The 12,232-nt window shown below is 40.8% G+C and overlaps 1 long non-coding RNA gene across 1 annotated transcript; it reads left to right on the top strand.

Annotated features, from left to right (window-relative positions):
• Window positions 1–207: 207 nt before the first annotated feature.
• FAM245A (family with sequence similarity 245 member A) lies at window positions 208–11,334 on the top strand. Its single transcript, NR_046091.1, has 3 exons — window positions 208–405; window positions 9,708–9,888; window positions 10,519–11,334. It is a non-coding gene; the product is annotated as a family with sequence similarity 245 member A (long non-coding RNA).
• Window positions 11,335–12,232: the final 898 nt, after the last annotated feature.

The raw sequence follows: 12,232 nt of genomic DNA, 5'->3' as shown, positions 1-12,232 counted from the left end.
CTTGACATTTAAATAAACTATATAAATTAAGATAAGTAGATTAGGAAATCGTTCAAATTATACCATAATCTGTACAAATATTGTGTCCCCTGCCAGGCAAGGGACAGGGTGCGGGCGACGGCCGCGTGGCCAAGGCCCCGCAGGAAAGCGCCCAGGTCTCCCTCACTCTCCAGGTGCCCTTTGCACCCAACAGTGCGTGTGAGGAACGAACTGCTGTTTGAGCCTCCCCTGAGATTGTGCGTAGCCTCCGTGTAAATGTAATAGCCTCCATGGCTTAATTGGCTATCAAGCGAATTTTCACAGATGAAAGCAATGTTAGGTTAGGGGACGACGGTGCAGCCACCCAGCCTTTACCAGCAGCGTGCTGCAGACGAAGGCAGTCAAGGTGTGGAGGTGATCATGCAGGTACATGTTTTTGACTGTTTAATTTGAAAGTTCACATTTTTTATGCTTTGTGTTGATGTGTAATTTTTGTACTCTTGGTGTCTAGTTTTTGTCAAATCTTTTTTGGAATATTGCTTAAATGTTTTGATTTTATGATAGTGAAGCTTGTATTCGATGTTTTGCCAATTAATATTTTATCCTAGTAAAAAAAGCAAAATAGAAAAAAAAAGATCTTAGTCTGTTTCTAAGGCCCAGACCACACAAAGTATCCATTTTCCTCTCTTGTCTATAAAACAAAACTCACCTTATCAACAGTTTCTGTTCTACCCAAAGATGTTAAATAAAGTCCAAAGTAGTGGGATGGGGGAAGTGATGTTTTATTGTCTGTGGCACGTGTGTTCCTAGGACCTATAAAAAGGAAAGCAGGTAAATGACTTTGATCTGTTTGATAAATGATTTTTATCTTGAGTAGTGTAATCACTTAAATATGTTGATCCTCCGTCTGGGTGGAAATTATTTCAATACCATGTTGTTTTTGTTATTATTAACTATATATATTATTATGTATATAATAATACATAAAAGTTATTAGGAATGAAATAAAAAATTATTGAAATCCTAACACACAGTTGTAGCTATTTTTCATTCATGTATTTATTAAATATTATTAAATTATTCACCACATAATAAATAGTAAAGCATTTTCCACATAATCATATCTACCATTTTATTCATGGAAATCATTTTATTTGATTATTTAATTTTTATTTTAGATTAAGCATGCATGTGTACATTTGTTACATGAACATATTGCATGATGCTGAGGTTTGGGCTTCTATTGAACTTATTATCTGAATAGTAAACATAGTACCCAATAAGTAGCTTTTCAAACCTTGCCCTCCTTCCTTCCCCTGTTTTGGAGGCCCCAGTGTCTGTTATTTCCATCCTTTTGCTCCTGTGTACCCAAAGTTTAGCTCTCACCTATAAGTGAGGACATGCGGTATTTGGTTTTCTGTTTACATCTTAATTCATTTAGGATGATGGCATCCAGGCACATCTATGTTACTGCAAAGGAAAGGATTTCATTCTTTCTTCTGGCTACATAGTATTCCATGGTGTATATGCATCATAGTTTCTTTATCCAATCCACCATTGTTGGAAACCAATGTTGATTCCATGTCTTTGCTATTTCATATTTGCAATATAACATGCAAGTGTGCAGAAGCTCTTTAGTTTAATTTGGTCTCACTTGTCAACTTTTGTTTTTGTTGCTTTTGTGTTTTAGTACTTAGTCATAAATTCTTTGCATAGGCCAATATCCAAAAGAGCTTCTTAGGTCTAATTCTAGGCTTCTTATAGTTTAAAGTTTTACATTTAAGTCTTTAATCAATCTTGAGTTAATTTTTTTATATGGTGAGAGACAGGAGTCTAATTTCATTCTTCCGAATATGGTTAGCCAGTTTTCCCAGCACCATTAATTGAATAGGGTATCCTTGCCCCATTGTATTTTTATCAATTTTGTTAAAGATCAGTTGGTTGTAGGTATGGGACTTCATTTCTGGATTCTCTATTTTGTTCCATTGGTCTATGTGTCTATTTTTGTACCCAAACCATGCTATTTTGGTTATTGTAGCCTCGTAGTATAGTTTGAAGTCAGGTAATGTGTTGCCCCTGCCTTTGTTCTTTTAGCTTAAGATTGCTTTGGCTATTCAGGCTCTTTTTTAGTTAAATACAAATTTTAGAATTGATTTTCTAATTCTGTGTAAAAATAACTTTGGCAGTTTGATAGGAACTGCACTGAATTTGTAGATTGCTTTGGGCAGTAAAGACATTTTAATGATGTTGATTCTTCCAATCCATAAGCATGTAATATTTTTCCATTTGTTTGTGTCATCTATGATTTCATTCAGCAGTGTTTTGTAGTTCTACTTAAAGAGATCTTTTACCTCCTTGGATAGAGGTATTCCTAAGTATTTCTTTTTTTTTTTCTGTGGCTCTTGTAAATGGGATTGTGTTCTTGATTTGGTTCTCAGTTTGAATATTGCATTGTATAGAAATACTACTGCTTTTTGTATATTGATTTCTTATCTTAAAACTTTACTGAAATTTTTAATCAACTCTAGGAGTCTTTGGTCAGAATCATTAGGGTTTTCTAGGTATAGAATCCTATCATCAGTGAAGAAATAAAATTTAATTTCCTCTTTTCCTATTTGGATTCCTTTTGTTTCTTGCTTTTGTCTGATCATTCTGGCTAGGGCTTCCAGTACTAAGTTGAATAAGAATGGTGAAAGTGGATATTCTTGTATTGTTCTTGTTCTTATGGGAATTCTTCCAACTTTTGCCTGTTTAGTATAATGTAGACTAGGTTTGTCAATAGATGGTTCTTATTATTTTAGGTATGTTCTTTGAATGCCTAGTCTATTGAGGGTTTTAATTATGAAGGCATGTTGGAGTTTATCAAATGTTTTACCTGCATCTGTGGAGATAATCTTATGTTTTTTTTTTTCATTTTAAATTCTGTTTATGTGGTGAATCACATTAACTGATTTGTATATATTTGAACAACCCTTACATCCCAGGAATAAAGTTCACTTGATATTGTATTATCTTTTTGATGTGCTGCTGAATGTGGTTTGCAAGTACTTTGTTGAGGATTTTTTTCAACTATGTTCATCAGATATATTGGCCTAGGGTTTTGTTTTTTGTGTGAGTATTTGCCATATTTTGGTATCATGATGATATAGGTTTTGTAGAGTAAGTCAGAGGAGAATCTCTCGTCCTCGATTTTTTGGAATAGTTTCAGTAGGATTGGCATGAGCTCCCCTTTGTGTGTCTGGTAGAATTCAGCTATGAATTCATCTAGTCCCAGGCTTCTATTACTTATTCAATTCATTCTGTAATTCATTGTTGGTCTGTTCAGTGTTTCAGGTTCTTCCTGGTTCAATCTTGGGAGGTTGTGTGTTTCCAGGAATGTATTCATTTCTTCTAGATTATCTAGTTGTGCACATAGAAATGTTCATAGTAGTCTCTGAGAATCTTTTGAATCTCTGTGGGACTCGAGTGAATGTCGCCTTTGTTATGGCTGATTGTGCTTATTTGGATCTTTTTTGTTAATCTTGCTTGCAGTCTATCAATTTTGTTTACACTTTCAAAGAACCAACTTTTCATTTTGTTGATCCTTTGTGTGGATTTTTGAGTCTCAATTTTATTCAGTCCTGTTCTTATTTTTGTTATTTCTTTTCTTATGCTATATTTGGATATAGTTTTTTTTCTTGTTTTACTACTTGCTTTAGGTGCAATGTTAGGTTGTTAATTTGAGATATTTCTATCTTTTTGATGTAGGTATTTAGCACTATAATCTTTCCTTTTTAAACTGCCATTATTGCATCCCAGAGGTTTTTGTTCATTGTGTCTCTATTTTCATTTGTTTAAAAAATTCTTGGATTTCTGCTTTAATTTTATTGTTTACCCAAACAAAAGTCATTCAAGAGTAATTTCTTTAGTTTCCGTGTGTGTTTGTGTGTGCGTGTCTGTGTTTTAGAGTTCCTCTTGCTATTGATTTCTATTTTTATTCTACTGCGGTCCAAGAAGATGCTTGATATTATCTGATTTTTTTTATTTCTTGACACTTGCTTTATAACTGCATATGTGATCACTCTTAGAGTATGTTCCATGTGAAGATGGGAAATATATATGTATATTGTGGTTGTTGGGTAGAGTATTCTGTAGATGTCTATTAGGTTCAATTGGTCAAGTGGCAAATTTAAGTCCAGAATTTATTTGTTTAGATTTCTGCCTCAATAATCTATCTACCACTGTCAGTGGAGTGTTGAAGTTCCCAGTTATTACTGAGGGGCTGTCTACCTCTTAGGTCTAGTAGTGATTTCTTTATGTATCGTGATGCTCCAATTAATGTTGGGTGCATATTTATTTAAGATAGTTAATTATTCTTATTGAATTGAGCCCTTTGTCATTATGCAATAACTTTTTTTGTCCTTGTTTCTGTTTTTGGCTGAAGATCTGTTTTCTCTGACATGAGAATAGAAACTCCTGCTCTTTTTTGTTTTCCATTTGCATGATTAATCTTTCTCTATCCCTTTACTTTGAACCCATGAGTGTCATTACTTGTGAGATGGGTCTCTTGAAGACAGCAGATGGGTGATTCTGATTTTTTTATTCCAATTTGCCACTCTATGTCTTTTAAGTGGAGGATTTAGGCCATTTATGTTCAAGGTTAACATTGATATGTGAGATTGTGTTCCTGTCATAGTTTTGTTAGCTAGTTTCTTTGCAGTCTCAATTGTGTAGTTGCTTTATAGAGTCTGTGGACTATGTACTTAACTGTGCTTTTTCTGTGTATTGTTCTTTCATGTCCACATTTAGAACTCCCTTAAGCATTTCTGCAGGGCTAGTCTGGTGGTGATAAATTCCCTTACCGATTGCTTGACTCAGAAAGACTCAATTTCTCCTTCGTTTATGAAGCTTAGTTTTGAAGAATATGAATGTTTATGCTGGAATGTCATTCCTTTTAGAGTACTAAAAATAGACCTCTAATCTCTGCTGGATTGTAAGGTTTCTTCTGAGAAGTCCACTGTTAGTCTGATGGGTTCCCTTTGTAGGTAGTGTTGCTCTTTTCTCTAGCTGTGTCTGAGATTTGTTTTTTCTTTTGTGTTAACTTTAGATAGTCTAACGACTATGTGTCTTGGGGATGGCTGTCTTTATAGTATATAACAGGGGTTCTCTGGATTTCTGGTGTATGCATGTCAACATCTCTAGCAAAATTGAGAATATTTTCTTGAATTTTTTCCTCAGATATGTTTTCCAAGTTGGTTACTCTTTCTTTCCTCTCAGGAATACCAATACGTGGTAGAATTGGTTTCTTTACATGATCCCATATTTCTTGAAGGCTTTGTCTTTTTAAAAAATATTTTTTCTTTATTTTTGCATGACTGGGTTAATTTGAAGAATCAGTCTTCAAGCTTTGAAATGTTTCCTTCTGCTTGGCCTAGTCTGTTTTTAAGTCTCCCAACTATATTTTGAAATTTATTTAGTGAATTTTTCAGTTCCAGAACTTCAGTTTGGCTCTTTCTTAATATAACTATGTTGTCTTTCAAATCTTGGACTGTTTTTCTGGTTTCTTTGCATTGGATTTCTATTTTGTCTTATGTCTCATTGACTTTCCTTGACATCCATCTTCTGAGTTCTATGTGTCTCATTTCAGACATTTACATCTGGTCAGGATCCTTTCCTAGGGAGCTAGTGAGAGGCTTTGGAGATCACAAAACACTCTGGCTCTGTGTATTGCCAGACTTCTTGTGCTTATTCCTTTCCATCTGCGGGAGTTGACACTTCTTTTTTGAATTTGATTCATTTAGATGGGGTTTGTATTAGTCAGAGTTCTCTATAGGTACCGAAGTAATAGGATAGATGTACATTTGAAGGGGAGTTTATTAAGGATCATTGACTCACATGATCACAAGGTAAAGTCCCACAATAAGCCATCTGCAAGCTGAGGAGCAGGGAAGCCAGTTCGAGTCCCAAAACCTCAAAAGTAGGGAAGCTGACAGTGCAGCCTTCAGTCTGTGGCTGAAGGCCCGAGAGCCCCTGGCAAACCACTGGTGTAAGTCCAAGAGTCCAAAAGCTGAAGAACTGGAAGCATCCAGCACAGGATAAAGATGAAAGCCAGGAGACTCAGCAAGTCTGCTCTTCTGCCTTCTCCTGCCTGCTTTGTCCTAGCCATGCTGGCAGCTGATTAGATGGTGCCCACCCAGATTGAGGGTGGTTCTGCCTCTCCTAGTCCAGACTCAAATGTTAATCTCCTTTGGCAACACCCTCCAAACACACCCGGGAACAATATTTTGCACCCTTTAATACAATCAAGTTGACACTCAGTATTAACCATCACAGGGCTTTTATATTTTTTATTCTCTTTGAAAGTATGACTGTGGTGTATGTGATTGATTGGCTTCATTTCTGGGTAGTTGCAGACGGTGAAGTTTCCATATATGTTCCTTGGTTACAGATAGGTTGCTGCAGTGGCTTTCACAGATGTTGCTTGTTTTAGCAATGTATTTTTATATGATGGTATAACTCAAACTTCAATCTGGTAGATGGACTTAAGAGTAAGAGCTGGCAGGTGGGGTCTTGGTGCATGCTTGCCCTCACTGGAGAATCATGAGAAACAACTTCTTTCAGTGCATGCTTTCTGGGCCCCTATGGGAAGAGCTATTTTTGCATCTGCAACAGTGCACTGGGGAGGGGAGATGGAGGTGAGACATAATTCCTTCTCCAAGTCTGGTTCTGGGCCTTGGTGGTGCTCCTTTCAGTGGCTTATGCCATGGTCGCATTTTCTTTGTCTCATGTTGTGCTTTGGCAGGCTGCACTCCCCCTTCCCCTAGGGATGGTCCACACTGAGGATTACATCTCTAGGGACACACAACTCTCCAGAGACCCACCAGTCCACTGTGCTTACCAAAGTCAGAGCAGGTTTTAGGGTATGTCTGCAGTTGCTCTGATGATGCAGTATTTCAAGGGTAGAGGATCTCCAGGCAGGGCAGTGGCACAATGGGTGCAACACCAGTATGGAGTCTGCAGCCCATGATTTTCAGCCCAGCAGGCAACCATGGAGTCTGCCTAGCTTACACTCCCCTGACCCAGCAGATCTCCCACAGACACTCGCCCTGGCGGCAAGCCCAACCAACTAGGCTTTCCCCAAGCTATCTGCTCCCACATTGTTGAGCTGCTCCAGGCATTCTGTGCAAGGACACTCCCTGGGAAAGAAGCTACCACCATCAGGCCATACCCTTCATGGTCTGGTCTTGCAAAGGGAGGGGCGTCCAGCTCCCATGCCCCCATGAGAACCCATACCACACCCTTCTCTGCATTCTGACTATGGAGGATCCTCCTTCACTTGAGATTAGGTTACAAATCTCAGCTCAATGTCCCTGGGTGGTATACTTGAGTCTTGGGGAGTTGGGACTGGGCTCACGGATTTGTCCTCTGGCCTCTAAGCTTCAAGCACTGGCTGTGATTTGGGGACAGGGTGGTGAGCTTTTCCCAGGCTGTCAACAAAACACTCAAGCTATGCAGTGGATGCTGTGCTGTGGACACCCTCTTGCAGGCGTGACCAGGCATGAGGTCTGGGAAGGGGTTGACAGGCAAGGGGGCATGTGGACCAGATGCAACTTAATCACACAGCATTGGTGATGGGGCCTATCTTGGGCATGTGAGCCGGCCAGGCGTGGTTCACTCCCAGCCTGGCAGACAGCAGGAACTTAGCCACTCAGTATGAAATGGAGACTTGTGGGATGGGCACCTAGGGTTGCATTTTGCTGCAGCTGCACAGCACAACAAAGCCTTCTGGGCTCTGTGTGGGTTCAAACTGTGCCTCTGCATGTGCTCGAGGCAGCTCTCCTACCAGTCCAAAGATCTATGAGGGTCGTAGAAACTCCTGTAACTAGGATCTCAGAGATACATTATGGGTATGTAGTGTCCCAGGGTTTCTTCACTCACCCCTTCCTTGGGTTTGTTCAGGGTATATGGGCCAGTCCTGGTGTCTAGTGACTCTGAGCAGACTGCCCCATTTCTTCCCTCTTCAACCATGGTGTCTGTGTCACCTCTGTGTCAACTTTCAGTGTTTTCTCTCAAAAGATCTGTTTAAAATGTGAAGGTTTACTAGATATTATGTTCCTCTCCATGGAAGAGGCACTTCCCAGCTGCATCTCCTTGGCCATCTGCCATTCTCCAAATCTTTTTTGGTGCCTATTTTTCCTTTTTACTTTCTGTGCTTCCTCCTTATTCCCTTCCTCCAACACTGATATGTACTCTGACATTCAATTCTAAATATATATATTATAAAAAATAGATATATTATGCATATATGTGTTCATTAAGAATAGAATACTTGGCTGGGCATGGTAGCTTACGCCTGTAATCCCAGCACTTTGGGAGGCCGAGGTGGGCGGATCATGAGGTCAGGAGATCGAGATCATCCTGGCTAACACAGTGAAACCCCGTCTCTACTAAACAAAATACAAAAAATTAGCCGGGCATGGTGGCAGGTGCCTGTAGTCCCAGCTACTTGGGAGGCTGAGGCAGGAGAATGTCATGAACCCAGGAGGTGGAGCTTGCAGTGAGCTGAGATCATGCCACTGCACTCCAGCCTGGGTGACAGAGCAAGACTCCATCTCAAAAAAAAAAAAAAAAAAAAATTCAGAAAGAAGGTTACTACATCTGAATTTCTGAAGATGGTTTTAGTAGGGATGAATTCAATGTAATCCATGGATTATTCATGACTTTGTAGAAAGGTTAATGAATGTTTCTTTTAGCCACTCGGGATGGGATCTCTGAATCAATAGGAAGCATAAATGAGAGATGTCAGGGGAGGATTGAAGGATGCTGATGGAGGTGGGAAGGCCTGAAGTGACCCGCCTGTGCTAGACTGAAAGTGATTCAGGCCCCACCCAAATGCAGGAGCAGTGGAGCCTAAATCCTTCACAACTGCACATTAGAGGAGAGAGGATTTGACCATCATCCTGCAACTAGAGTTACTGTTAATCAAGGTAGGAGGACAAGATGCGTTCCCACTTCTGACTCTGATTGCCCTAAATAGAGGCCCTAAGTGGTAATAATTTGTTTTGAAACTAGGAGACAGTTCAGTCAGTGTTTCATCAGATTCATGTTTTGCCGAAAATACTGGCACATTCCTCCATTTGATGAGGAGTCACTACAGGTAACTCAAGGGCCTTAGTCCTGCTGCCCACATAAGGGAGTTCTGGTCCTGAGGAAATGGGGCCGTATTTGAAGGTAACGAAAGGGATAAGATGAGACATGATGGTGTGATGAGTATTCCAGTGACTGCTTTTGGTAAATTTGGGCTGGCATGTGGGTTTCAGTTCCTCTGTCTAGAAAGGAAATGCTCCTCATGGCTGACAAAAGCAGGAACAGGTTTTATCATCAGCTCTACACCAAGGCTCTCCAGTTACTAGAGTGGTCTCTAGAAGATAGCATTATCAGCAAATTCCATTAGCAACTAACTTGCTTCTGTGGTGCTGTGTTGTTGTTAATAGTTTTAATTATAGCAGCTGCAATGCAGGGAACCTGATCCAAAAAAGGCACAAACCAAAACCTGTGCTCCTAAGGAGATTATGAGAAATGAAATCACCAACACTGGCTTCTCTTTGGGAGGAAACAAAATGGCAAGAGGGACCACTCATGGGCTAAAGCCCAGCACTTGGGTCACAACTCACCCTGGAGAGGCCAAGTATGGGCCCCATTGCTTCAGGCCTTGGCTATGGATCACACCCTGGATTCTTCTCTTCCAGGTGCAGCTCAGTTGCCGTGATGCTCCTTGAGTCAATGAGCTCTTTGGTCTGCTCTTCTGCTCAAGCAGAAAATGATCTGCGCTTCACCCTTGAGAAGCTGACAAGAACCACAGGCTTCTTCGGGCAGGTGGTGGAACATGGGTGTATCCTGCAGGTTCTCACAGTATCTCCCTTTGCTCAGGTGACGGAGGCTTGGGGTTTTCCAGCTCTTGACCTAAAATTCCTGAATGATTGTTTTCAAATTTCTTAATGAATAATAGGATGAACTTGCCACCCCTGTCAGGGGGGAATGGGGTTCCTGAGAGCTGAGAGGCCAGGATCCAGATCCTGAGCCTCTTCACCAAGCAGATGCTGTAGAGCAAAGGCAGCAACTATCTGTCTGTCTATCTATCTATCTATCTATCTATCTATCTATCTATCTATCTAATTTCCCCTTCCCTTTAAGGAAATCCTCAGGACTAGGTGAGATCTTAGATCTAGTGGAGAATCTGAGTTGCTCCAAGCAAAACCTCAGGATCCTGCAATCTGAAAAGGTAGAACCAAGGCAAATGTGGGCAGCAATACCCAGAAGTTGGGTACTGAGCCTGTTAGGGAGCATTTTTTTCAGGGGAGTGAAGTAAATAATGAGGTGTAGAGAGCAGCGAGAATAAGAAGCCAAATCACAGACTGCAAAATCACACAGCATCTGTCCTTTCTCCCTGGTCAGAGAGAGTATGATGGGTAGTCTCCAATATAGAAAGCCCATTGTGTCCTTCAGCTCCCCCATACAGTCACAGAACAGGCCTGATTATGAAATTTCTGTTCTCTTTAGGCTCTAGCCTGATTTTCTGGCTCATAAGGCCAAAGGGAGCCGGAAAGGTCCCCACGGCAGGACTCATGGTGGAGAGAGAATGGTCTGGAGGATTCAGGCCTCTGCACACTGTGTCTGGGTCCCTCCTTAAAGAATGATAAAGACAAGCAAAGAGCTTGAAGCAGCCTGGAGTCCAGCCAGAAACCTTTAACTGAGCTTTAAAGGAGATGGTCACAACACTTTTCAGAATACTGGCAAAGGCCTCCTGTGGCCAGGTTTGTCCTGGGATGAGCAAAATTTAATGTTAACCTGCTGTATCTTTGCTTTTAATATATCTGCTTGCCCACCACAATGACGTTATGGTTAATTTCACCAATTTGGTAACCTGCCTCATGGGAAGTACGAAAGTAAGCAAGGGCCAGGTGTGGTGACTCACGCCTGTAATCCCAGTACTTTGGGTGGCTGAGGCAGGTGGATTGCTTGAGCCCAGGAGTTCAAGACCAACCTGGGCACCATGACAAAACCCCGTCTCTAAAAAATATACAAAAATTAACCAGGGGTGGCAGTGCATGGCTGTAATCCCAGCTACTTGGAGGCTGAGGTGGGAGAATCTCTTGAGCCTGGGAGGCAGAGGTTGCAGTGAGCTGAGATCACACCACTGCATTCCAGCCTGGGCAACGAAGTGAGACCCTGTCTCAAAAAAAAAAAAAAAAAAAAAAAGAGAAAGACAGTGAGGGTGTCCTGTGAATCAAATCTTTGAATGGATGTTTTCTTAACTAACCAAGACCTCTGTAAGAATTCTGTCTTTGATTCCACAATAAAGTGGTGTGAAATTACTATAAGCAAATGTTTACATGTCTCATTTAATCTTCACAACAATCCTATGAGGCAAGTAGAATTGTTATCCTCATTTTCTGAGTGATGAAACTGAGGCTCAGGGGAGGGTGTGACCTTGCCAAGTCCCCACAACTGGAAACCACAGAACAAAATGACCTGAGTCACACATGCTAGGAAAAACTCATTGTGCCTCCCCATGGAGCTTCACAATGGCTATTTCTGTTGCAATAGAGGATGAAGCAGGTGGTCTTTCCAATCAAGAGCTGTTAAGAAAGCCTCCAGTTCTCCCCGGGGAATCTCAGAATCAGACTGAAGATTCGGAAGAGCCTTTGCTGACCACTGAGTCAAACTCCCCAGAATCCTTTTATAGTACCGCTGACCAGTGAGTGATCATCAAACCTCCAAAGACTTCGGTAATTTGCAGATTCTAGGGAAAATTCCATGAGTTAACAGAGGTGAAATTTGAAAGTTCCGTAGAGAAATTCTGGAACTTGAAATTATCATAGGAAGATTATTATGCAATTTTGTTCCTGTTAGTAGTCTTTAATAAAGAGACTTCAGGTGAACATTGGGTTGAACCAAGATTACTTTCTTCCATTGTCACCATTCTGATTTCAGATTGTTCCTTGCTGGTTTATATACTCTTCAATTCCATTTTGTACCAGATAGAGGCAGAGTAGAAGGAAAAACTGAACAACAAACTGCATTTGTGCCAGCTCGAGGGATAAACACCCTCTAAGGAGCATCTCAAGCTTTCCACAAGATTTCAACAGGGCCACCCCAGTTCACAGGCAGGTAGTGTGTCTTCAATGTGTGGCCAATCGCTCTTGGACAAACAGGAGGTGTTTTCCCCAGGATACCCTGCACTAGACTCGGCATCTTTTCAGTCTTCTTCCTA

This window comes from Homo sapiens, chromosome 10 (assembly GCF_000001405.40).
Source record: "Homo sapiens chromosome 10, GRCh38.p14 Primary Assembly".
NCBI lineage: Eukaryota > Metazoa > Chordata > Mammalia > Primates > Hominidae > Homo > Homo sapiens.
Note: the sequence above shows the minus strand (reverse complement) of the source record. Positions and strands in the feature narration are given on the sequence as shown.